General features: G+C 48.4%; 1 long non-coding RNA gene and 1 pseudogene across 2 annotated transcripts, besides 2 other annotated features; one reads left to right on the top strand and one right to left on the bottom strand.

Moving 5' to 3' along the window:
* Positions 1-888: 888 nt before the first annotated feature.
* ZNF473CR (ZNF473 cis regulating lncRNA) lies at positions 889-25883 on the bottom strand. Of its 2 annotated transcripts, NR_138096.1 has the most exons (5): positions 25278-25883; positions 14473-14614; positions 8672-8781; positions 1279-1347; positions 889-1073 (listed from the first exon to the last, which is right to left on the bottom strand). It is a non-coding gene; the product is annotated as a ZNF473 cis regulating lncRNA (long non-coding RNA). The 2 variants fall into 2 exon arrangements; NR_027257.2 differs by lacking the exons at positions 889-1073; positions 1279-1347; positions 8672-8781 and adding an exon at positions 9677-10397 and having other exon boundaries at positions 14473-14672.
* LOC100287477 (zinc finger protein 420-like) lies at positions 17016-17532 on the top strand (annotated as a pseudogene).
* Positions 24916-25596: an enhancer, noted in NCBI's record as "H3K27ac-H3K4me1 hESC enhancer chr19:50554133-50554813 (GRCh37/hg19 assembly coordinates)". NCBI's record gives its function as "activates a minimal SCP1, AML or CMV promoter by ChIP-STARR-seq in primed H9 embryonic stem cells {active_cell/tissue: H9 hESC(primed)}" and the evidence as "EXISTENCE:reporter gene assay evidence [ECO:0000049][PMID:30033119]".
* Positions 25628-25837: an enhancer, noted in NCBI's record as "active region_14974". NCBI's record gives its function as "activates an Ori minimal core promoter by ATAC-STARR-seq in GM12878 lymphoblastoid cells {active_cell/tissue: GM12878}" and the evidence as "EXISTENCE:reporter gene assay evidence [ECO:0000049][PMID:35858748]".

The following is a 27300-nucleotide window of genomic DNA, read 5'->3' as shown; positions in this document are numbered from 1 at the left end:
TCATGCCTGTAAACCCAGCGCTTTGGGAGGCCAAGGCGGGCAGATCACAGGAGGTCAGGAGCTCGAGACCAGCCTGCCAACATGGTGAAACCCCGTCTCTACTAATACAAAAAGTTAGCCAGGTGTGGTGGCGAGCGGCTGTAATCCCAGCTACTCAGGAGGCTGAGGCAGGAGAATCGCTTGAAACCGGGAGGTTGCAGTGAGCTGAGATCACACCACTGCACTCCAGCCTGGGCAACAAGAGTGAAACTCCATTAAAAAAAAAAAAAAAGAGGAAAGCAGAAGTGAGAGTCCCTTGAACAGCTGGATCTAACCATGCCTGAAGTCCCTCTGTGTTCAATGTGTTCATAGGCTTTCCATGGACAGAGGTCTTTCAATTCTGTTTATGGCTTTGGGTTGAATTTTGTGTTCTGTACTCACAATGATCCTGACTAACACCATTTTTATAAACTGAGGCTCAGAGAGATCATTAAGTTGCCCAGTCATTGAAAGAAACACAAATTTGTCTGCTTGCAGAGCCAGCATGTTCCAATCCGGTTTCCCAGTCTCAGAGAGGACAGGAGGCCCAGTTGGAGTGAGACCCACGGAGTGTGTTTATTCTGGCGTTGATAGCAGCAGCAGTGGGGGGACCGGCCAGACGCAGGGTGTGGCGAACAGAAGGGGTGGACACAGGTGTGTGTGTGTCTGAAAGGACAGAGAGGATTGGCCCATTGACATTCACGGCGAGAACAAGGGTCGGGACACTGAGTCTTGGACAAACAGCAAAGAGACAGAGACAGACAGAGGGTTTTGGGGGGCAGGGGTCCCCCAGACATGCATGGCCCCTCGCCTCGAGGGGGAGCCCCAGGGAAGAAAAGACAGACACAGTGGAGGCTGAATGCCCCCCACCCTGAAAGAAGGAGCTGGGCCGGCCTCCTCTCATCCTCTCGCTTCCAGGGGTAGGAAGCCTAGGGCCAGGGCTGCCCCGCACCAGCAGCTCGGACGTTATGGCTTCAAGGAGATGAATTCACGGTCCGGGCAGGAAAGGATGGGGTCCTGAGGGAGCCTGGTCCGATCCCGGGCCTAGGCCAGACCTGCACGATGGAGCAGGAAAGGAGGGGTCAGCAATGGCAGAGAACTGCACCACGACCTCCTGTAGCTCCATCACCACCCAGAGACCCAGGAGTCCCAGGCCCAGCCCCTCCTCCCTCAGACCCAGGAGTCCAGGCCCCCAGCCCCTCCTCCCTCAGATGCAGGCATCTCCACCCCCAGCCCCTTCCCTGTGGCCAGGCTGCTTACCCCTCACTCGGAGTTCTCTTTCTCTGATAGTCCTTTGCTGCCTTTTGTGAAGCTGGTCACAGTCTTTTCCTAAAGGAGAAAGTGCAGAAGGTTCGGGAGTGAGAGACAGAGAGTTGAAACAGATGCTAATCATCAACAGGAGAAGACGTCAATCCTGTTTCATTATTTAGGATGCGCTTTCTCACTTGGCCCTGAAGTGACGGACAGATGGTATTACAATTCCATTCTACAGATGGGGAAATGGAGGCACAAAAAAGAGGAGTCTCTGCAAATGCGAGGAGAGATGAGGCTGTAGGGATGAGTGGGGCAAGTCCTGCATGGTATCAGAGGGGCTGAGACTCTGTCCTGGGGCCACTGGGGAGCCACGGGAGGGCTGTGAGCAAGGAAGGGGAGGGGAAGCTCTGGGTGTAGAAGGATCTTCTGGGGCCACAGGGAGCATGAGGGGCTGAAATTCATGGGCAGTGTCAGGACTCGGCCTAGACTCTGTGCCGCCAGCGTTGCCCAACATGGGCAGTGGCTCACCAGAAACTCCTGGGAAGGTTGGTGGGATGAATTAATGAATGGATAAATGAGTGAATGACAGGAGGAGGGAGTAGCCTCCATCCTATCCACCTTAGTAGAGTCCCCGTCTTTTCCAATCTCAAATCTGAGTTCTGTGCCCAGCTGTTGGGTCCCTCATGATCACTGGAAAAAAGCCCACAGCAGGGCCAGACTAAATCTGGTGATGTGGTGAAAGTTTGCTGGAGACGTGATGCTGGAGAACTACTGGAACCTTCTCTCCCTGGGTGAGGCCCCTCCCTCTGCCCTCCCCCGGGGGAGGCCTGATGCCCCCGGCACCCTCTCTGATGCCCCCAGCCCTCTCTCTGATGCCTCCTGGCACCCTCTTCTCATTCATGTCCATCCCCTGCCATCTGGGGGCCTCTGTGCTCCTCTCACTGGTCCCTCACGCCTGGCCTCTCCCTTCCTCTCTTTCTGGGGGCCTCTCCCTTCCTCTCTTTCTGCCTGGAGTCCCAGCAGCCAGGAGGGCCCAAGTCCCTTGGCCTGTCCTGTAAAATGTGAGTCCCGCAAACTCTTCAGCCTGTGTCCCCAGCTTCTTCTTCTTCTTCTTTTTTTTTTTTTTTTTTTTTTTTTGAGATGGAGTCTCACTCTGTCACCAGGCTGGAGGGCAGTGGCGTGATCTCAGCTGACTGCAATCTCCACCTCCTGGGTTCAAGCAATTCCTCTGTCTCAGCCTCCCGAGTTGCTGGAATTACAGGCACACACCACCATGCTGGCTAATTTTTGTATTTTTAGTAGAGACGGGTTCACTGTGTTGGCCAGGCTGGTCTGGAACTCCTGACCTCAGGTGATGTGCCCACCTTGGACTCCCAAAGTGCTGGGATTATAGGCGTCAGCCACCGTGCCTGGTCATCCAGCTTCTTCTAACGCTTTCCCTTCCACACATGGTGACCTCCCTGTCCCCGGACTTCAGGCTCCACACTGGAACGCCCAGTCCAGAATCTCAGGCTCCAAGCGCCTCCCGGACATGTTCCCAATCAACAGGTCCCAATCTGACCTCGGCATCTTCTCCCCAGAGCATATAAACGCTGTCCCCTAGTGTGTCTCCGAGATCCTGCACTTGCCCACCTTCCTGCCTCCAGGCATAGCCCTCCCCACCTCCCACCCCTCACATCCACCCCACGCCGAGCTCAGTTCACCCACCGTCCTGCTTCTCTTCCTCCAGGTCCCCACCTCTGGTTGGCCCCACATCCCCCCAGGTCTCCAGACCAGACCCCCGGGCACCATCCTCGGCCCTGACTTGCTTAGTTTGAGCTGCTCTAACAAAATGCTGTAAACTGGGTAGCTTCTAACAGCAGAAATGTATGTCAGAGTTGGCCGGGCACGGTGGCTCATGCCTGTAATCCCAGCACTTTGGGAGGCCAAGGCGGGCAGATCACGAGGTCAGGAGATCGAGACCATCCTGGCTAACACGGTGAAACCCCATCTCTACTAAAAATAAAAAAAATTAGCCGGGCATTGTGGTGGGTGCCTGTAGTCCCAGCTACTCGGGAGCTGAGGCAGAAGAATGGTGTGAACCCGGGAGGCGGAGCTTGCAGTGAGCCGAGATCGCGCCACTGCACTCCAGCCTGGGTGACAGAGTGAGACTCCGTTTCAAAAAAAAAAAAGAAAGAAAGAAAGAAAGAAATTTATGTCAGAGTTTTGGAGGCTGGGAAGTCGAAGATGAAGGCGACAGCAGACTTGGTGTCTGGTGAGGGCGCTTCCTGGTTCATAGACGGCGCCTTCTCTCTTTTTTTTTTTCTTTCTTTTTTTTAATTGAGTCAGAGTCTTACTCTGTCACCCAGGCTGGAGTGCAGTGGCGCAATCTTGGCTCACTGCAACTTCCACCTCCCGGGTTCAAGTGATTCTCCTGCCTCAGCCTCCCCAAATAGCTGGGATTACTGGTGCCCGCCACCACACCCAGCTAATTTTTTTGGTATTTTTAGTAGAGAGGGGGTTTCACCATGTTGGCCAGGCTGGTCTTGAACTCCTGACCTCAGTGATCCACCCACTTTGGCCTCCCAAAGGGCTGGGATTTACGGGCATGAGCCACCACATCCGGCCGACAGAGGCTGCTCTCTATAGCCTTACAGAGTGGAGGAGCAAGAGAGCTCTCTGGGGTGTCTTTTGTAAGGGCACTAACCCCTGCCACGAGAGCTCTACCCCCATGACCTAATCGCTTCCAAAAGGCCTCAGCTCCTAACACCATCACCTGGGGACTAGGTTTCAACTTATGCATTTTAGGGGGATGCCAGCAATTCTGCTCACAACATCCCCTACTTCCCCTTGTCCACAGGACCCCTCAGGCCACAGCCCTGCCCTCCTACACCCTCCTTACCATCCCCACGGCCCCAGCCCTGCCCAGGCCTCGTCTTGCCCCTGCACCTCAGCACAGCCCCCTTGCTGGTTTCACTTCCCACCTTCCTGGACCTGTCGTTCTCCGTCTTTATGTTCCCCTGTAAGTAGCTGTGGTGATGTGACGTCTCCATCCTCAGCCCTCCTCACTCACGCACTTTCTCTGGACAAACTCATCAAAAATGTGGCTTAGGCTGGACGCAGTAGCTCACATCTGTAATCCCAGCACTTTGAGAGGCCGAGGCGGCCAGATCATTTGAGGTCAGGAGTTTGAGACTAGCCTGGACAACACAGTGAAACCCCATCTCTACTAAAAATACAAACATTAGCTGGGCATGGTGGTGGGCACCTGTAATCCCAGCTACTCAGGAGGCTGAGGTGGGAGAATCACTTGAACTTGGGAGGCGGAGGTTGCAGTGAGCTGAGATCTCGCCATTGCACTCCAGCCTGGGCAACAGAGTGACTCTGTCTCAAAAAAAAAAAAATGTGGTCTCATTAAAAACGTGGCCCAAACTTCTCCATCAGGGTCGGTCCCCAAGACCACCACAGGTGACTGATTTGTTAGCGGGTGCCAGGGACTCAGCCCTTAGTTAAACGCTCAGTGATGGTTTATTACAGAGAAAGGAGACAGCACAGCTGGCAAAGGGGAAGGGCACCCGGGGCGCCATCCAGGAGAAACCAGGCCAAGCTTCCAGAACCTTCTCCCAGTGGAGCCACATAGGATGGTTTAATTCTCCCAGCAGCAAGAGGTGACAACACATGGGAAATGTTATCACCAGAGAAGCTCACCAGAGACTCAGGGCTCAGCATTTTTTTTTTTTAACAGGATCTCTCTATATTGCCCAGGCAAGTCTTGAACTCCTGGGCTCAAGCTATCCTCCAGCCTCTGTCTCCCTACGAGCTGGGATTACAAGCGTGAGCCATCGTGCCCGGCTGTGCTCAGGGTTTTTCCTGGGGGTTGCTCACACAGCCCCCTCTACTAAAATGTACCCAAATTTTAGACTCCTGGGAAAAAAGCAGGTGTTCAGCATAAACCATGGTGTTTGCACAAACAGTTTAGGGCTGGGCACAGTGGCTCACGCCTGTAATCCCAGCACTTTCGGAGGCCAAGAGAGGAGGATCACTTGAGCCCAGGATTACGAGTCCAGCCTGGGCAACATAGTGAGACCCCTATCTCTAAAAAAAATTAAAATTAAAATTAAAACCACAAGCAACTGAGGCTCTAGTGAGCCCCACATCAGTTAGGAAATTCTGGGAACCCTCCTAAAGTCCAGGTTGCTGGACCTCAGCCTAGGGTCTACCTGGCCATCAGGACTTTCCAAAGGGAGCATCTCAGGCCGGCTGTGTTCACCCTTTTCCACACATCCACAATGGTGTCCCTTCAATGTGTCCCATGAGTTTCAACCTTGTATAGCTTGTGGCCTCCACAATACCACCATGGGGAAGGCTCAGGACCCCACACTCCCTGTCTCCCCTGAGCGGGTCATGTCACCCCCAAACTCATTCCTCCTTCAGGTCTCCCATCTCAGAGACAGACCCCTGCCCACCCAGAGACCAGGCCAGGCCAGTCCAGGGCACTGACTTTTTTTGTTTTTTTGTTTTTGAGACGGAGTCTCGCTCTGTCTCCCAGGCTGGAGTATAGTAGCACGAGCTCTGCTCACTGCAACCTCCGCCTCCCAGGTTCAAGCGATTCTCCTGCCTCAGCCTTCTGAGTAGCTGGGATTACAGGCATGCACCACCACACCCAGCTAATTTTTGTATTTTTAGTAGAGATGGGGTTTCACCATGTTGGCCAGGCAGGTCTCGAACTCCTGACCTCAAGTGATCTGCCCACCTCAGCCTCCCAAAGTGCTGGCATTCCAGGTATGAGCCACCACACCCAGCCCAGGGCACTGTCTTTACCATCTCTTTCATACCCGTATGTGTCCTGGCCCTGACACTCTCCCCAGTGTCACCACTTTCTGTTCCCCCACTGCCTCACTCTGTGGTGATCACAGGAAGGTTGTCTTTTTTTTTTTTTTTTTTTTTTGAGATGAAGTTTTGCTCTTGTTGCCCAGGCTGGAATGCAATGGCGCGATCTCGGCTCACCACAACCTCCGCCTCCTGGGTTCAAGCGATTCTCCTGCCTCAGCCTCCCGAGTAGCTGGGATTACAGGCATGCACCACCACATCCGACTAATTTTGTATTTTTAGTAGAGACAGGGTTTCTCCATGTTGGTCAGGCTGGTCTCGAACTCCTAATCTCAGAGATCTGCCCACCTTGGCCTCCCAAAGTGCTGGGATTACAGGCATGAGCCACTGCGCCTGGCCTTGTCTTTTTTTCCTTTTTTTTTTTTTTTTTTTTTTTGAGACAGTCTCACTGTTGCCCAGGCTGGAGTGCAGTGGTGCGATCTCAGCTCACTGCAGCCTCCACTTCCCGGGTTCAAGTGACTCTCCTGCCTCAGCCTCCCGAGTAGCTGGGATTACAGGCGCATGCCACCACGCCTGGGTAATTTTTGTAATTTTTAGTAGAGACAGGGTTTCACCGTGTTGGTCAGGCTGGTCTCGAACTCCTGATCTCAAGTGATCCGCTGGCTTCGGCCTTGAAAAGCGCTGGGCTTACAGGTGTGAGCCACGGCACCTGGCCAGAAGGTTGTCTTTAAGATGGCATCTGTGACAGCACATGCGTCTGCTCACGGGCACGAGCAGTAGGGGCATGGGGGAGTGTATCCTGCTGCTGCCACAATGCACAACCACAAACGTGGTGGCTTATGACAACAGCCATCAGTTCTCTCATGATTCTGGACCAGAGTCTAAAACCAAGGTGACAGCTCGGCCACGCTGCCTCCAAAGGCTCCAGGGGAGGGTCCTTCCTCACCTCTTCCAACACCTGGTGCCTCCTGGCATTTCTTGGCTGGTACCCGCCTCCCTTCTTTCTCTGCGTCTGTGCCATGTGGCCTCTTCCCTCCGTGTCTGTGTATCCTCTTCTTCTTCTTCTTTTTTTTTTTGGAGATAGAGTCTTGCTCTGTTGCCCAGGCTGGAGTGCAGTGGCACGATCTTGTCTAGGGAGGCGGAGGTTGCAGTGAGCTGAGATCGTGCCACTGCACTCCAGCATGGGAACAGAGAGAGACTGTCTCCAAAAAAAAAAAAAAAAAAGACCTTAGTGGCAATGCCTTCTTGGGCACCAGCACCCAGGTCAGAGGCTGTTTGGCTCTAACCACAGCAGGGCTGTTACCTGGTGAGCTCAGTGCAGGCCAAGAGGGACAGGGCAGGTAGGGGTGCAGGCAGGGGAGTGGTTACAGGGATGGGTGGTAAATGCCAGGCTGGAGAGTGGAAGGTGAAATCATGGGAGGCAATACATGGTGAGGGGGCTGCAGTATCAGAAGATTAGCTGTCCTGGGTCCCTGCTCCTCTGTCCCCTGACTGTGGCAGTTAGAGGCAGACCTCATGGTTCACCCAGCCACCAAGCCAGGCTCTAGGGCACCCTCCTTGTCCATGGAAGGATAGCTGGAGTCAAGAACTGGAGAAAGGTCAGGCACGGTGGTTCATGCCTGTAATCCCAGCACATGGGGAGGCTGAGGTGGGAGGATTGCTTGAGGTCAGGAGTTCGAGACCAGCCTGGGCAACATAGCAAGACCTTGTCTCTACAAAAAACGTAAAAATTAGCGGGATGTGGTGGCATGCACCTGTAGTCCCAGCCACTCGGGAGGCTGAGGTGGGAAGATGGCTTGAGCCCAGGGAGATCAAGTCTGCAGTGGGTTGTGATTGTGCAACTTCACTCCAGCCTGGGCAACAGAGCAAGATCCTGTCTCAAAAAATAAAATTAAAATAATAAGATAAAGTATAGTGGAGAAAGTCCCCGGGAGGCTGGGAGGTGGGAGGGGGTGTCTGACACCAAGATGTGGAGATTTGTGTCATTATCAGAGATGAAGGCTGTGACCATAGGCCTGGGCACCTAAGACAGAGGGAGGACAGGATCCTTGTAGGAAAGGAGTCCCGGAGTCACCCTGGATTGTAACTGTGTCCAGGTCTGCCTCCCCCTTCAGCCTGAGACGCCCTCAAGCACAGGGGAGTGTCCAGATCATTTCTGTATCTCCAGCAGTGCCAGGGAGTGGCACAGGGAGACCGGGAGGCCTTTGGGCATGTTTTTTTGTTTGTTTGTTTGTTTGTTTGTTTTTTAGACAGAGTCTTGCTCTGTCACCCAGGCCAGAGTGCAGTGGCGCGATCTCGGCTCATTGCAACCTCCACCTCCCAGGTTCAAGCAATTCTCTGCCTCAGCTTCCTGAGTAGCTGGGATTACAGGTGCCCACCACCACGCCCGGGTAATTTTTGTATTTTTAGTAGAGACAGGGTTTCACCATTTTGGCCAGGCTGGTCTTGAACTCCTGGCCTCGTGATCCACCCGCCTTGGCCTCCTAAAGTGCTGGGATTACAGGCATGAGCCACCGTGCCTGGCCAGGCATGTTTGTTGAACCAAAATTCATCTCCTCCTCACCCCTAGTCTAGTCACCTCTTGGCTCACCTCCTCCAGGAAGTTTCCTTTGATTTCTGCACCCTCTGTGACTTCCTGCAGTGTTGCGTGTTTCTTCCATTCCTGCTCACACAACACTAGACTGTGCCTCGGTTTCCTGCCTGAAGGGTGAAAATGAGGTACTACATTTAACCAGCTTAGAAACATGCCTGGCATGTAATCTGCGCTTAATAGACATTCACTTTTTAGTATCACCCTAACTATTGTAATTACTTCATGTTTTAATCAGGGATGGTATGTTTGTCTACAGTGATTCAAGACAGTTTCATCAAAACGAAAATGTCTGGACTGGGTGCAGTGGCTCATGCCTGCAATCCCAGCACTTTGGGAGGCCAAGGCGGGCAGATCACCTGAGGTCAGGAGTTCGAGACCAGCCTGGCCAACATGGTGAAACCCGTTTCTACTAAAAATACAAAAAATTAGCCAAGCATGGTGGCAGGCACCTGTAATCCCAGCTACTTGGGAGGCTGAGGCAGGAGAATTGCTTCAACCCAGGAGACGGAGGTTGCAGTGAGCCGAGACCACACCATTGCACTCCAGCCTGGGCAACAAGAGTGAAACTCCATCTAAAAAAGAAAAAAGGAAATGTTCAGGGTGGGTGGATCACTTAAGCCCAGGAATTTGAGATCAGCCTGGGCAACATAGTGAGACCCCATCTCTATAAAAAATTTGAAAATTAGCCAGGTATGGTGGTGCATGCCTGTAGTCCCAGCTATTCAGGAGGCTGAGGTGGGAGGATCACTTGAGCCCAGGAGGTCGAGGCTGCAGTGAGCCATGATTGTGCCACTGCACTTCGGCCTGGGCAACAGAGCAAGAACCTGTCTCAAAAAAAAAAAGTGAATGTTTTAACTTATGTATTTAGAAGTCTTGAGATGGAAGCTTTGGACATCAATGAATCTAAACAGAGTTGTCCATCAGAAATAAGATGCAACCCACTTAGGTAATTTTACATTTTTTGGCGGTCACGTTAAAAAAAATAAGAAGAAACAAATGAAATTAATTTTAATAATACATTTTATTCACCTCAAGCTATCTAAAATCTTATCATCTTGACACACTGAAATAATAATCAATTAACAAATGATTGAGAGATTTTACTGTTTTTTTCTTTAGTAAGTCTTCGAAACACAGAAGACGATGTTTCTTATACTGTCACAGTGCAGTTAACTCGAACAGCACAGACGCGGAGCCTTAAACAGCTTTGTCAGAGCTCAGCCTCTCTGCAGTGTCCTAAGCACTCAACAAATAAGTTGGCTCAGCCTCTCTGCAGTGTGCTAAGCACACAACAAATAAGTCTTGGCGTTGGCCATTTGTACGTCCAATCATTAGGCGCTCAGTGCGTGCACCTTCCCTGTAGACCTCCCTGTGATTCTGGCACCCACAGCCAACTCTTGTATCTTTCCCCAGGGGCAGGGCTGCCTGGGTCCAAATCCGACGTGATCTCCCGTGTGGATCGAGGGGAAGAGCTGAGGCAGGAGAGAGAGGCCCGGCGAGTTACCTGCCCAGGTGGGTGAGGATATCCAGCAGGTGTGAGCCCTCTTCCTACCCCATCTCTCATGGTCAGTGAGGTTCACTCAGGGGTGAGGCAGTGGAACACACGGGTGATCATCGTGGGCTCGGGAGTCGGGTTGTGTGGGTTCAAATCCCAGCTGATTGCTTCCTGGCTGTGTGGCCTTGGGCAAGTCACTTAGCCTCTCTGTGCTTTGATTTTTTTCATCTGTGAAAAGGAGGTGACATGAGTGTCTAGGATTGGGAGGAATAAATGAATTAACAGATACAGAGCAGAGCCCAGAGCTTGGCACAGAGTCGGTAGTGGCTTCAATGGCTGTCATCGTTATAATTCTCACCCGACCCTCCCCTTGTCCCGTCACAGCCCATCAGTCCCCAGCCTTGTCCCTCCTGCCCCTGGCCAGGCCTCAGCTTCTCTCCCCTGGACCCTCACCCCAGCCTCCTGGCCCCCAGACTTACCCCTCCAGTTGACACCGCCCCAGGGGATCCTTCCATACTGAGAGCTAACCCCCTCCCTCCCCTGCTCACACCCTCCCCTGCTTCCCCAGTACCCCCAAGATGAAGTCCCAGCCCCTCAGCCTGGCACTCGGTGCCCTGTGTCACTCAGCCTGTGCTTTCTCTGGCCTCATCTTCACCATCCACCCCTGATTGTACACCATGCCCTGACCTCACTGAAGCACCTGTCCGTACCTCAACCTGAATGTGTGTTGCCACCTTTGGGCCTTCACACATGCTGTTCCCTCTGTCTGGAATACCCTTCCCTGCTTTTTCTGCCTGGCAAGCACCTTCATGTGTTTCACGATGAAGCTTACAGGTCACCTCCTCCAAGTGGCCTTCCGTGATAACTAGGCCACCGCTTCTCAGCGTTTTCACAGCTCCTAGCTCAAGGTGCTATTACTGCACTTGTGCATGTTGTACTTAAGAGTGTAGACTCTGAGTTCAAATCCCCTTTCTCCCACTGCGTGATTGTGGGCAAGTGACTTAATCTATTGGTGCCTCCATTTCCTTACCTTTTTTTTTTTTTTGAGATGGAGTCTTGCTCTGTCGCCCAGGCTAGAGTACAGTGGTGAACCTGGACTCACTGCAACCTCCGCCTCTCGAGTTCAAGTGATTCTCCTGTCTCAGCCTCCAGAGTAGCTGGGATTATAGGTGCCCCCCACCGTGCCTGGCTAATTTTTTGTATTTTTAGTAGAGACAGGGTTTCATCATGTTGGCCAGGCTGGTCTCGAACTCCTGACCTCATGATCCACCCGCCCCAGCCTCCCAAAGTGCTGGGATTACAGGCGTGAGCCACTGCGCCCGGCCGTCCTTACCTATTAAATAGGGAGAATAATAGTACCCACCTCAATGAAATGTTTGGATGATGAAATTACTTAATACACGGAACAAGCTCAGAACAGTATCTGGCAGGTAGTCAGCATTTAATGAATGTTCTCTATTGCAATAATAATAATTGTTATTATCTGATATATCAGGACTCCCACATGTAAAGAATCAAAATAGCTTAAGAAAAATTAGATTTTTTTTGACCCATATAACTAGGAAGTATTGCAGTGCAAGACTTTCGGCATACATGAATCTAAGGCCTTAAATGGTATTGTCAGGGCTTACTTGTTCTCTCTCTCTCTCTCTCTCCCCACAACCCCCACCTTCCCCCTCCTTCGCTTTCCACATGTGTTGATTCTGTCTGTTTCTAGCTTCGTTTTGTCTACAGACCTTTCCAAGTAGCAATCAACGTGGCTACCCACAGTCTCAAACTTATATTCTGCCTAATAACCCCATATACTCATCTCGGGGAAGACTCTGACTGGGTCCCTTTGGATGATGAACCAATTATTATGGCCCGAGGAACGGGGTATTATGATTGGCCAGTCGGAAGTCTGATGCCCATTGCTGAGGTGGGGGTTGGGGAGATATGTGACAGCCCCACCAAGACTATAGGAAAAGGGGAGCAGTGGTTGTTCAAAGACAGGGATGCTAAAGAGATAAGTAGGATATGTCCAAAATGTCTGAATATAAGCCTGCCTCTCCCCCCTCTCTGAGGACAAGAACCAGATATCTTGTTTAGCAAAAGGTCACCTACTCACAGCACCGTGGTTGGCACATATGTAATTAATGGACATTCCATGAACAAACCCACTAGCTCCAAAAAAAAATCCATTCCCTCCACAAATTCCAGATGGTTTTGCTTTCTGCTCATCATTTCTTTTTATTCATTTATTTTTATTTATTTTTTATTTTTTTATTTATTTTTTGAGACGGAGTCTCGCTCTGTCACCCAAGCTGGAGTGCAGTGGCACGATCTTGGCTCACTGCAGGCTCCGCCTCTCGGGTTCAAGTGATTCTCCTGCCTCAGCCTCCCAAGTAGCTGGGTATGGGCACCTGCCACCACACCTGGCTAATTTTTGTATTTTTAGTAGAGGCAGAATTTCACCATGGTGGCCAGGCTGGTCTCGAACTCCAGACCTCGTGATCCACCCCCCCACCCCCGCCCAGCCTCCCAAAGTGCTGGGATTACAGGCGTGAGCCACCACGCCCAGCCTAGCATAATATTTTTAAGAGTCATTCACATTGCAGTATGTATGAGAGCTTCATTCCTGTTTATGGCTGAATACTATTTTGTTGTATGAATGTACCACAGTTGGTTTATTCATCAGTTGGTGAACATTGAGTTATGTCTTCTTTTTGGCTATTATGAATCATACTGCTATGAACATTCATGCACAAGTTTTTGTGTGAATGTATGTTTTCATTTATTTCGGGTAGATACCTAGGAATGGAATTGTTGAATCATAGGGTAATTCTATGTTTAACCTTTTGAGAAACTGCCAGACTATTTTCCAAAGTGGCTGTACCATGTTACATTCCCACCAGCAGTGTGTGAGGGCTCTGATTTCTCCGCATCCTCACCAACGCTTGTTACTATCTGTCTTTTTTATTATATAACTAGTGAGTGTGAAGTGGAATCTCATGATTTTCATTTCATTTTCCTTGATGTCTAATGATGTTGAGTATCTTTTCATGTACTTATTGGCCATTTGTATATCTTTAAAGAAATGACTATTGAGAACTTTGCCCTTTTTTAATTGAGTTTTTAAAAATATTGAGTTGTGGCCAGGTGTGGTAGCTCACACCTGTAATCCCAGCACTTTGGGAGACTGAGGTGGGTGGATCATGAGGTCAAGAGATCGAGACCATCCTGGCCAACACGGTGAAACCCTGTCTCTACTAAATATAGAAAAATTAGCTGGGCCTGGTGGTGCGTGCCTGCAGTCCCAGCTACTTGGGAGGTTGAGGCAGGAGAATCACTTGAACCTGGGAGGCGGAGGTTGCAGTGACCCGGGATCGTGCCACTGCACTCCAGCCTGGGTGACAGAGCGAGACTCCGTCTCAAAAACCAAAATACTGAGTTGTAAGTATGCTTTATGTATTCTAGAAACAAGTTCTTTATCAGACATATGATTGGAAAAAATTTTCTCCCATTCTATTAGTTGTCTTTTTGCTTCTTACTAGTGTCTTTGAAGCACAAAGGTTTAAATTTTTAATTATTATTATTTTTGAGACAGGGTCTCACCCAGGCTGGAGTGCAGTGGCGCAATCATGGCTCACTGCAGCCTCAACTTCCGGGGCTTTGTTGATCCTCCCACCTCAGCCTTCCAAGTAGCTGGGACCACAGGCGTGTACCATCGCTACCTAATTCTTGTATGTTTGGTAGAGACAGGGTTCAGCCATGTTACCCAGGCTGTTCATGAACTCCTGAGCTCAAGTGATCCACCCACCTTGGCCTCCCAAAGTGCTGGGATTACAGGTGTGAGCCAATGTGCCTGGCCTAGGTTTTAATTTTGACAGTGTCCAATGTATCTATTTTGCTTGTGTTGCTTTGTGATTTTTGACATCATGTCTAAGATACCATTGCCTAATCCAATGACAAAAGGATAATTTCAGGAATCTCACATAGCATTTAGTTGTCATGTCTCTGTTTTGGGGGTCCCACAACCACCCACTGGTTTGGCGATTTTCCGGAAGGAGTCACATGACTTGGCGAGTTGTATTGACGGTTTACAGCAAAGTTTGTAACTCAGGAACAGTAGGAACTAACAAAGGCAAGAGAGGTCATACACAGGTTTCCAGCCCTCCCTTTCCCTGTGTGGGTCACATGGACGTGCATTTTTCCACTAATGCAAAACCACAGACACATGTATGAGGTGTCTCCACCCCAGGAAGCCCACTTGGAGTCTTATAGTCCAGAGTTCTTGAAGAGAGCTGGTCACGTATGCACATACCTGCTACATGAACAGAGTGAGAACTCCAATCCAGGTACCAGGTGCCCATCATGCATCTTCATATTTACAGTCAACAATGCTGACAGCCTAGTACATCTTGACCCGTGGTCTTGAGCATATGGAAGAACATCTTACCCAGCACCTGTGTAAACATCCCAGGAGTTTAGTTCCCAGAGACTGGCCAAGGGTCATTGCCATATCTGCAGAGATAAACAAAGACTGAGTGAGATGGGCTGGGCGCAGTGGCTCAAGTCTATAATCCCAGCACTTTGGGAGGCCAAGGCAGGCGGATGACTTGAGGTCAGGAGTTCGAGACCAGCCTGGCCAGCATGGTGAAACCCCAGCTCTACTAAAAATACAAAAAAAAAAAAAAATTAGCCAGGTGTGGTGGCGCATGCCTGTACTCCCAGCTACCTGGGAGGCTGAGGCAGGAGAATGGCTTGAACCCAGGAGATGGAGGTTGCAGTGAGCTGAGATCGTGCCATTGCACTCCAGCCTGGGCAACACAGCGAGACTCTATCTCAAAAACAAAAAACAAACAAACAAAAAAAACTGAGATGGACCTTCTGTTCACTCTTTCCTTGCACATTCCCACAAACATAGTGTGAGAAGGTCTGTGCCATGCTCCCTTGGCAACACTGGATATCTTTAATATTTTCCAATCTAAAATGGGTAAAATAGCATCCTAATGATTTGATTTTTTTAACTATTGCTGATGTTCAGCATCTATACATGTATTTATCAGCCTCTTATTTTTCTTCCGTGAATTGTCTACTCATATTCTCGCCTCTCTATTTTCTTAGATTTTTTTCTATCATTTTTCTTATTGATTTGTAAAAAAAATGTACTCTATAGCATAGCTACTCAACTCTGTGTACATAAACTGTTTAGAACTTGGTTGTCTTCATTTTTAGAGTGTATTGAGACTATCCTTCCATGTCAGAACATGAATCTATCTACGTACACCATGCCTTTCAAAATAGCAACATCGGCCAAGCACGGTGGCTCATGCCTGTAATCCCAGCACTTTGGGAGGCCGAGGTGGGTGGATCACGAGGTCAGGAGTTTGAGACCAGCTTGACCAATATGGTGAAACCCCATCTCTTCTAAAAATACAAAAAAATTAGCCAGGTGTGGTGGTGGGCGCCTGTGGTCCCAGCAACTCAGGGGGCTGAGGCAGGAGAATTGCTTGAATCCGGGAGGTGGAGATGGTGCCACTGCACTCCAGCCTAGGCAACAGAACAAGACTTTGTCTCAAAAAAAAAGAAAAAAGAAGAAAGAAACAAACAAAGTAGCAACATCGAGTTTGAAATTTTTTTTTTTTTTTTAGGTTTACACTGCCACTTCCAAGTAATCAGCTTGCTTTGTCCTGGGACAGGTGGTATTGGTATTTTCCATTTCTTTCAGACTCGGAGACAAGCTCTGTGACTATTCGAGAGACACCTCGAAAAAAGAGCATTTCTGAAGATTCAGCTTCCCCAGTAGAGGGACCTTTAAGGGCCATGCTTGGAGATGCCCAGGTGGGGAAACCCTTGGCATGTCACTATCGGTCGGAGGATGCAAGAAAGCAGGAGAGGCATTTGAGGTGTTTATTTGCTACTCCCAAGGGAGACACCTCGGGGGAGAGAGGCCTTGGGTGTAACGAGCTTGGGAGAAGCCTCCGGCAGGCCTCTGCCCTCATCAGGAAGCAACGAGTGCCCTTTGGAGACAGGCCCCGGAAGTGGGGCAGGCCCTGGAAGAGCTTGAAACGCCAAAGGACGTTCGTGGAGAAGAAACCATTTAACTGCACGGAATGTGGGAAAGCCTTCATTTACCATTCGGACTATATTCTCCATCAGCGAATTCACACCAGGGAGAAGCCCCACAGGTGCTGTGACTGCGGGAAGGCGTTCAGCAACAGCTCATATTTCATTCAGCACCACATCATCCAAACAGGCGAGAAGCCCTATGCCTGCCATGCATGTGGCAAGACCTTCACTCAGAGCTCTTCGCTTACCTAGCATCAGAGGATTCACACTGGAGAGAAGCCCTACAAAGGCAAGGACTGCGGGAAGGCCTTCACACAGAGCTCATCCCTCATCAAACACCAGCGGTGCCACACCGGGGAGAAGCCCTATAAATGCGGCCAGTGTGGGAAGTTCTACTCGCAGGTCTCCCACCTCACCCGCCACCAGAAAATCCACACGGGGGAGAAGCCCTACCAATGTGGAGAGTGCGGCAAGGCCTTCTGTCACACCTCCTCCCTGACCCAACACCAGACCACCCACACGGGGGAGAAACCCTACAAATGTAACAAGTGTGGGAAAACGTTCAGCCACAGCTCATCCCTGACTGAGCACCAGCGAGTCCACACTGGAGAAAAACCCTATGAGTGCACTGATTGTGGCAAAGCCTTCAGCCACAGCTCGTCCCTGACCCAGCATCAGCGAATTCACACTGGCGAGAAGCCCTACGCGTGTCACGAGTGCGGGAAGGCTTACACGCAGATTTCCCACCTCATGAGGCACCAGAGCACTCACGTGGGGGAAAAGCCCTATGTATGCAACGAATGTGGGAAGGCTTTCAGCCACACCTCATCCTTTACTCAGCACCAGACCATCCACACCGGTGAGAAGCCCTACAAATGTACAGAGTGTGGGAAAACCTTCAGCCAGAACTCCTCCCTCACACACCACCAGAGGATTCACACAGGGGAGAAACCCTATGAATGTAAAGTGTGTGGGAAAGCCTATACCCAGATCTCCCACCTCATTCAACACCAGAGGATTCACACTGGAGAGAGGCCCTACGAGGGCAGAGAGTGTGGGAAAGCCTTCAGCCAGAGCACGCACCTCATTGAGCACCAGAAGATCCACACTGGCGAGAAGCCCTATAAGTGTAAGGAATGTGGGAAAACCTTCAGTCACAACTCATCCCTCACTCAACATCAGAAGATTCACACCGGCGAGAAGCCCTACGCCTGCAAGGAATGTGGGAAGGCCTTCAACCAGAGCATCCACTTAATCCAACACCAAAGGATTCACACTGGAGAGAAGCCTTACAAGTGTAGTGACTGTGGGAGAACCTATACCCAGATCTCACACCTTCTCCAACATCAGAAGGTCCACACTGGCAGCAAACGCTACACATGTGAGGAGTGTGGAGAGGGTTTCAGCTGGAGTTCACACCTGACTGAACACCAGAGGCTTCATACTGGCCAGAATGCCTACATCTGTGATGATTTTGAGAAAGCCTTTGCTTGGGGCACACAGCTTGCTGATCATCAGAGAACCCATGCTGATTAGACAACCTGAGTGTGTGATGAGCTGGCTGTCCTGCTGTTAGGTTCCATCCCACCTTCATCAACACTAGGAACCCTAGGAAAAATTTTGCCTTCAGGAACAGATGGATCCAGGTGCATAAATGGCCTTTCAGCAATCTGCTCTTCATCAACACTAGGAACTCCCCAGAGAAGGATGCTGGCGCCATATGTTGAGATGGTTTGTTCCTTTGTTCCCTAGAGGGAAGGTGGCACAGTTTTTCACTAACTGCGACAGGTTCTGATCATTCTGGGGGCTTCCCTTGCATATTTCCTCCACCCTGCCATGTCCCTAGATCGTGGTATAGTTAGAGAGTGGTCCAAAAGGGATGCCATTTCATCTGGGACCTTCACCAAGAACAGCTCTCTCCAAGCTTCTTAAACTGATTCATCCTTCCTTATACTGGAGCCTGAGCTGGGCGCGGTGGCTCACACCTGTAATCCCAGCACTTTGGGAGGCCGAGGTGGGTGGATCACAAGGTCAGGAGATCGAGACCATCCTGGCTAACAAGGTGAAACCCCTTCTCTACTAAAAATACAAAAATTAGCCAGGCGTGGTGGTGGGCGCCTGTAGTCCCAGCTACTCAGGAGGCTGAGGCAGGAGAATGGCATGAACCCGGGAGGTGGAGCTTGCAGTGAACCGAGATTGCGCCACTGCACTCCAGCCTGGGCAACAGAGCGAGACTCCGTCTCAAAAAAAAAAGAAACTTAAACTGGAGCCTGAATATTCAATGGGGGAAGACAGCTATAAAGATTAACCCTTTAAAGTAACATTTTTAGTTTCCTTTGAAACTTTAAGCTACAAATATCAGAATCTGCAGTTGGCTTAAACAATAAATATGTTTCATATAAATATGGATATAAATATAAATGTTTCACATATTTATAGACATTTTTAATGTCCTATTGTTTCTGTTTATTATGTTTCCAGGATCTATGCTTTACAAAGCTATTGTTCTGTTCTTTTATTTATTTATTTATTTTTTTTTTTTTTTTTTTTTTTTTTTTTGAGACAGAATATTGCTGTGTTACCAGGCTGGAGTACAGTGGCATGATCTCAGCTCACTGCAGCCTCCACCTCCTGGGTTCAAGCGATTCTCCTACATTAGCCTCCCAAGAAGCTGGGATTACAGGCACCTGCCACCACTCCCAGCTAATTTTTGTTATTTTTAGTAGACGTGGGGTTACACCATGTTGGCCAGGCTGGTCTCAAACACCTGGCCTCATGTGATCCTCCTCCGTCAGCCTCCCAAAGTGTTGAGATTACAGGCGTGAGCTCCCGTGCCCGGCCTACAAAGTGATTGTTCTATTAAGCGTCATGTTGTTAAGCATCACTGTTTATTCACGCCCAAGGGGAGATTTTTTATTTTGTTATTATTTTTTTGAGACAGAGTCTCAATCTGTTGCCCAGGCTGGAGTGCAGTGGCGTGACCTTGGCTCACTGTAAGCCCCACCTCCCAAGGGGAGACTTTTAGTCATATTTTTAAAACATAGTATTATTTTTCATTTAATAATTATATATATATATTTTTTTTTTTTTGAGACAGAGTCTTGCTCTGTCACCCAGGCTGGAGTGCAATGGCAAGATCTCGGCTCACTGCAACCTCCGCCTCCCAGATTCAAGCAATTCTTCTGCCTCAGCCCCCCAAGTAGATGGGACTACAGGTGTGCACCACCATGCCCAGCTAATTTTTCTATTTTTAGTAGAGATGGGGTTTCACCATATTGGCCAAGCTGGTCTCGAACTCCTGACCTCGTGATCCACCCACCTCAGTCTCCCAAAGTGCTGGGATTTACAGGCATGAGCCACCGTGCCCGGCCATATATTTTTATAACAGAAAAAAATTTAGTGAAATACCATATGCTTATCATAAAGGATAATTTGGAAAGTGTAAAGAAGTATGAAATAAAAGACAAATTCCCTGTAATTCTGCAGCTCAGAGAGACTCACCAGTCATTCTTGGGTGTGTTTCTTTATGTTTTTTGAGACAAAGTCTCACTCTGTCGCCCAGGCTGAAGTGCAGTGGTGTGATCTCGGCTCACTGCAACCTCTGCCACCCAGGTTCAAGTGATTCTCCTGCCTCAGCCTCCCAAGTAGCTGGGATTATAGGCACCTGCCATCACACCTGGCTAATTTTTGTAGGTTTAGTAGAGATGGGGTTTCACCATCCTGGCCAGGCTGGTCTTGAACTCCTGTGTGATCCACCCGCCTTGGCCTCCCAAAATGTTGGGATTACAGGCGTGAGCCACCGCACCTGGCCTCTTTATGGTTTTTTAAATCTATATCCCATATCCATAGGTTTAGTTGTCAGAAATTTTGGGTTGAAAACATAAAAGCCATCGCTGACAATTTGGCCATCCTTAGAAGTCATATTGTTTTTATTTTTTATATTTCCTTTCAAATCTTTTAAACAAATATAAGTTTATTTCATTGTAATCACAATGCAGAGACCGTTTTTGCCGTCATTATGCCATGAGCATTGTCATTGTCCCCATACACTTTTATCATTATTAAGGATAATGATATGCCACTGAGAAGGTGTAATTTACAAATCCATTCTCCATTTAGATTCTTCTTTAAGCTTTTGACTGACATGGGTTTTTCACCAGTTATCCCAATTACAAATAATGTTATAATGAACATGTCCGTGCTCACTTCCTCTCTCCCTTTGGGGTGATTATTCCTCAAAGTAAAATTCCCACAGTGGCAATGATGGGAACCAAGGTTCCAGCCATTTTCCTGATTACTCACACAAGTTGCCATATTGCTTTCCAAAGGGCTGAACTTAACCTACCTGCCATGGCTGGGCATGCGGACCATGGATGCACTACATTTTTATAGCAATGAGTGTCAGCTATTTAACATATCATTAAGTCACCTTTAACAACCTGATATTTTGCAGTTTCACGTAGCTTATATATATTCAGCCAGCATATTATCCAGTCCCTTGTTGGACATTTTGGTTGTTTCTAGCTTTTGACTTTTTTTTTTTTTTTTTTTTTTTTTGAGAAGGAGTTTCACTGTCACCCAGGCTGGAGTGCAGTGGTGCAATCTCGGCTCACTGTAACCTCCGCCTCCCAGGTTCACGCCATTCTCCTGCCTCAGCCTCCTGAGTAGCTGGGACAACAGGCACCCACCACCACGCCCGGCTAATTTTTGTATTTTTAGTAGAGACGGGGTTTCACTGTGTTAACCAGGATAGTCTCGATCTCCTGACCTCGTGATCCACCCACCTCAGCCTCCCAAAGTGCTGGGATTACAGGCGTGAGCCACCACACCTGGCCGCTTTTGACTTTTATATATATATAGTATGGAACATCCCTTTTATGAAAGGGATGAGTGTCTAACTATTTCCCAGGTGAAATCCTGGCAGTGAGGTCATGGGGTCATAGGGAGAGGATTTCTGTGACCTCGAGTATGTTGCCAATGGGTTGCCAGAAGTTCTGTATCAGCTGGAACGTCTGTCAATATATGGGGCTATGTCTCACTAGCCTTCTTCTGTGCTATTATATTTTAAAGTTATCGCCCAGGTATTTCTCCTAATCTTTTGTGGCTTCTTTCATGATTGAAGTAATATTCATTGTGAATAACTCAGATGATACAAAAATGAAGAAATCTTTAGTGCCCTGTAAATCTTTGTTCCAGGCCGAGTGTGGTGGCTCATGCCTGTAATCCCAGCACTTTGGGAGGCCGAGGCATGTGGATCACCTGAGGTCAGGAGTTCGAGACCAGCCTGATTAACATGGTAAAACTCTGTCTCTACTAAAAATAAAAATAAAAAATTAGCTGGGTGTGGTGGCACATACCTGTAATCTCAGCTACTTGGGAGGCTGAGGTAGGAGAATCGCTTGAAGCTGGGAGACAGAGGTTGCAGTGAGCTGAGATTGTGCCATTGCACTCCAGCCTGGGCAACGAGAGCAAAATCCATCTCAAAAAAAAAACTTCATTCCAAAGATTTCATACTTTTTCTATAAATAAGAAATCTCCCTTTCTGTTTTTATGAAACTGACTTTATATGTATATATATTCACATATGTATGGTATATATGGCATAACCACATGCAAACATAATTTTAAGAAGTTACTTTTCTCACTTGATATAATGTGGATACTTTCCCATGATAATGCAAAATATATACATATTGTACATATTACACAAAAATATATACATGCATAGGTATCTTCATTTTTCACAGCTGTGTAATATTTCATGCTAGGGTTTCTTTAATTTGTTTAACCAATCCCTGTTAATGGATATTTAAGTTGCTTTCATTTTCTTTTCCATCATTGGATATTTATTATTTGACATATGTACAAAATGAATTCCTACAAGTATACTTGTGGGATCACAGAACACCTACATTTAAATTTTTCATAGTTATTTCTAAATAGTCCTCCAAAAGGGGTGAAACAATTTGCACAACTCCTGGAAGTGTATATGAGTGCCTATTTCTCTGTTCTTTACTTCCTTCCCAAATACTTGGTGTTAGTCATTTTTTAAAGCAATTTTAATCTGATAGGTAAAAATGTCCTCTTGGTTGTGAGATTATCTTTTTATGTATTTATTGATGTTTTCTATTCTGTGAATTGCCTATTTATGTATTTTGCCCATTTTTAATTGAGAAGCCTTTTTGTATTGATTTATAACGGCAAGTCCTTATATATTACGCATATTAACACTTTGGTATATAAGTGACTAATATTTTCTCCCAGTTTCTCTTCAATTTTGTTTATGTTTGTTATACAGAGTTTTTAAATTTTTAGGTATTTTAATCTATCTGTATTTTCCTTTATAGTTTTTGGATCTACTATCATGCTAACAAAGGCCTTCTTCACCCCGAAGATTATGAAAAAAAAGTTCTGCTATATTTTATTCTAGTACTTTTACGATTTTTTTCACAATTAAAACTTTGATCCATCAGGATTTTTTTTTTTTTTTGAGACGGAGTCTCGCTCTGTCACCCAGGCTGGAGTGCAGTGGCGCAATCTCGGCTCACTGCAAGCTCCACCTCCTGGGTTCACGCCATTCTCCTGCCTCAGCCCCCCAAGTAGCTGGGACTACAGGTGCCTGCCACCACGCCCGGCTAATTTTTTGTATTTTTAGTAGAGATGGGGTTTCACCGTGTTAGCCAGGATGGTCTCAATCTCCTGACCTCGTGATCTGCCTGCCTCGACCTCCCAAAGTGCTGGGATTACAGGCGTGAGCCACCGTGCCCGGCTGTTGATCCATCTGGATTTTTAAATAATTTCTGGTATAAGATAGAGATTCATTTCCAGCCAAGAGTATTCTGTTTGTTTAAGGAAGAAAGGGAATTTATTAGCCTATGTAATTGAACAGTTTTGCCTTCAGGAACAGATGGATCCAGGTGTTTAAGAGACATGTCAGTAATCTGGTCACTCCTCTTAGCTCAGCTTCCTTTTTGGTTAGTTTCATTTTCTGGCAGGTTCTCCCCCCATGGTGGCAAGGTGACCACGAGCAGCTCCAGGCTTATCTCCTATCACCTTAGAAACCTAAACAGAAAGAAGGCATGTTTTTCCTATCCCTCTCTCCCACTCAGTATCTCTCAACTCTCCCTTCAAATGTTGAACTTGACCACCTCTCACACAGTTCAAACAAGAATGATAATTTACTGGCTTGAGTAGCTAAAAGCATCAAAAGCAAGACACTCATCTTGTTTATGCTAGCACATCAGGATGCCTTCAGCTGTGACTAAAAGAAAACCCCAACTCAAATTGTCACAAACACCAGGAAGAAGAAATGTACATTTAGGGCAGATTCCAGCTGCAATTCATAGTATTCCTCTACATTTCTCTTGAGGTTGATATTATTTATATTATTTCACATTATGTTCTCAAAGAATTATGTTTCTTGATCCCACAGTCCCTCCTTCATTCCCATCTCAGCCCCTGCCTGTTTACTTCACAGCACTTTTTTTTTTTTTTTTTTTTTGAGACAGAGTCTCATTCTGTGGCCCAGGCTGGAGTGCGGTGGTGTGATCTCGGCTCACTACAACCTCTGCCTTCCAGGTTCAAGTGATTCCCCTGCCTCAGCCTCCTGAGTAACTGGGATTACAGGCGCCCGCCACCACGCCTGGCTAATTTTGTCTTTTTAGTAGAGACGGGGTTTCACCATGTTTCCCAGGCTGGTCTCGAACTCCTGGCCTTAAGTGATCCACTCGCCTTGGCCTCCCAAAGTGCTGGGATTGCAGGTGTGAGCCACCACACCCAGCCTACTTCACAGCACTTATAATTTCCAATCATGTCTCATGGTTACTGCCTGCCCTCTGTCTTTCCCCGCTGTATCCCTAGCGTCTGCCCAGTATACAGTAAGGTTCTCAGCAAACATCACCAACTGACTGACTGATTTACTTCCTCAAAGGCTGAAGACATTCCTCTCCCTACCAGCAGGGTAGGAGAACGGCAGTTTCCTCACACCCTCGTTGAGACTTTTAATTTTGGCCAGATCTATAGATATAGTATATTTTCCCTTCTCTTCCTGGCGACCTCCTGCTCATCCCTCAAAGCCTTTTTCAAAGGCCGCCTCATGGGACAGGAGCAGTGGCTCATGCCTATAATCCCAGCACTTGAGGGGGAGGCAGGTGGATCACCTGAGGTCAGGAGTTGGCGACCAGCCTTGGGCAGCATGGTGAAACCCCTACTGTTGGGAACGAGGTTTTTGGTGTCGCAAAAAAAAAAAAAAAAAAAAAAGAATTAATGCGGGAACAAATGATCTCTCAGCAAGGTGAGCTTTACTTCCTGCAGAAAGGGTGCTACTCAATAGCTGTCCAGCCACGAGACCCCGCCAAACTAAGGAGACAGAGTTATTATAACCTGATGTGTCTACCCTACTGCTGTGTCCAGTTTCCATTGGCTGGAATAGGACCTCACATTTTACACTTTACCCGATTGGCTATTAGTTTAAAACTTTTTTAACTGGGTAAGGGGAACAGAACAAAGAAAAGGAAGTTGCCCAGGGGATAGTTAAGGATGCTTCCTTAACTATGCACTATGTCCTGGGGCTTGTCTAGTTCTGTCCAGGCATGCCGGAGCAAGCTAGGACAGCTGATTTGGAATATATAATAGTGGATAGCAATCTTATACTAAGAAATTGTGACTTTTTATAATCTTTGAAGAATAACTTTCCCATTTTTCACACTACTAAAAATACAAAAGATTATCCAGGCATGGTGGCGGGCGCCTGTAATCCCAGCCACTCGGGAGGCTGAGGCAGGAGAATCGCTTGAACCCGGAAGGCGGAGGTTGCAGTGAGCCGAGATCGTGCCACTGTGCTCCAGCCTGGGCAACAGAGCGAGACCCCGTCTTGAAAAAATAAAAGTAAAAAACAAACAAACAATAAAAAAATAGTCTCCCTTTGAGAAATCTTCCCTCACATCAACTATTTCAGTCCCACCCAGCCCGGTTTTTCCTTCCTTGTGCTCTAATATTCGTTTTCCACCAAGTTTTACGACCCGATCACGCTGTTTGTCCAGCACCCATACTGCTTACGGGCTCCGGTAATGGGCAGCTCCAGCCTGCGGCGTAGACAGTTGCCATGGAGAAAGACAGGCGTTTCCAGAGTTGACGGTTGCCGTGGAGACAAAAGCCGCCCGCACGCAGTGGGGGCGGGGCTTACAGAACGTATTTTGCGATTGATCCACAGGAAATAGACGCAGCTGCGTGGATCGCCTTCTCCACCCCACATACTGAAGCCAGAATAAGCCACGACTTCGTGTGCTCCACGCGAGGGCCGCCTGACGCCAGAGTTTCTCCCGCATCTGCCATCAGAGGACCGTCGCCCTCAGGAGCCCGAGCTCCCGCGGTACTCTGGGAAGGGTAGTTCATCAGGGAGTCTGACAGGCGCGGAAGTATCCGTGGGGCCGGGGCAGCGTCGCCACCAACGTGGGGATGCTGGTGGGGAGCAAGCTTCGCGTGGGAGGCCGATCCGAGGTCCAAGCCCCCATTTGCCAGGTCCTTGAGGGCCCCACTGTCTAGTGACATTCATCACTTGCCCTCCCCATTTTGGGCCCATTTTGGCCTGAAAAGTGGCCCCGAGCAGTTGGGGATTTAGGCCACCGAGAGGAATAGGGGCTTGAGAATCTGACGGCAGCCTGTGAGGCTGCAGGGGTGGGGACGGGTTTAGAGGCAGCGGGGGTGGGGTTAGGGCGTGGCCAGGAGCCGAGTCAGCACAAGGATTGGCTGGAGTAGGCGGGGAAGGGAGGTGGTTATTAGAGAACTGAACCCAGGAGGCCGGCGTGGGCGGAACCTGCTGATGCTCGTTTTGAGAATCCTTACACTGAGTATCATTCTTGAGTCCACTGAAGAAACTGAGGCTCAGAGAGGGCAGTGGACCCTTAAGTTCAGTAATTCATTAGAAGGGCTCACAAAACTCAGCAAAGCTGTTATACTTGATTGCATTTACTACAGCTAAAGAATAGAGATTAAAACCAGCAATGGGAAAAGGTGCATAGGATGGAGTCTAGGAGAGACCAAGCGTGAGCTTCCAGGTGTCCTCTGCCAGTAAAGTCATATGGAAAGCATTTAACGCACTCAGCAATGATGTGTGACCGCACACAAAGTGTTGCCAGAGAAGCTCACCCACGCCGTGGTACCCAGGGTTATGGGGTTGGTTATGTTGACAGGGCTGATCACCCTGACTGACCTTAGTCTCCAGCCCTTCCAGAAGTCAAGCTGGAATTTAGCTGGGGTATCAGTTCCGACAAGGGGTCCCCATCTCTGAAATGTTGGGGGAGACCTTGGCCCTAGAGAAGACTTTGCTGCTGCTTTATACCTTGACCTCGTTTGAGCTTGTCTTTGCATCAGCCTCAGAGGTGTTGGGTTTTGCCATCTTAGCCTTGCTTGGTTTAGGCTCCTGTAGCTCATTTCTTTTTCCAATCACATCTTTTTCCTTTATTCAGAGACAGGGTCTTGTTCTGTCGCCCAAGCTGGAGTGCAGTGGCATGATCACAGCCTACTGTAGCCTCAACCTCCCAGGCTCACGATTCTCCCACTTCAGCCTCCCTAGTAGCTTGACTGCAGGCGTGTACCACCACACCCGGCTGTTTGTATTCTTTGTAGACACAGGATTTCACCATGCTGCCCAGGCTGGTCTCAAACTCCTGAGCTCAAGCAATCCACCCACCTCAGCCTCCCAAAGTGCTGGGATTACAGGCATGAGCCACCACACCCAGCCTACCACACAAACTTTAAAATGTTTTAAATTTATCTAAACTTAAACTTTTATCTAAATTTAAACTTTAAATGTTTTTAAATTGTAAAAATATACATAAAATTTGCCATTTTAATCATTTTTAAGTGATCAGTGGCCACTACCCAGCTAATTTGCATATTTCTTTCGTAGAGACAGGGTTTCATCACGTTGTTGAGGCTGGTCTCGAACTCCTGGGCTCAAGTCATCTTCCCACCTAGGCCTCCCAAAGTGCTGGGATTACAGGCATGAACCACCACACTCGGCCCTATCAGCTCAGTTTATAAAAAAAAAAAACTTTCTATTACTACCATGAGCAGGAAC

This window comes from Homo sapiens, chromosome 19 (genome assembly GCF_000001405.40).
Source record: "Homo sapiens chromosome 19, GRCh38.p14 Primary Assembly".
NCBI classification, from domain to species: domain Eukaryota; kingdom Metazoa; phylum Chordata; class Mammalia; order Primates; family Hominidae; genus Homo; species Homo sapiens.
The sequence above is the reverse complement of the archived record's forward strand: the minus strand, read 5'-3'. Positions and strand labels throughout refer to the sequence as shown.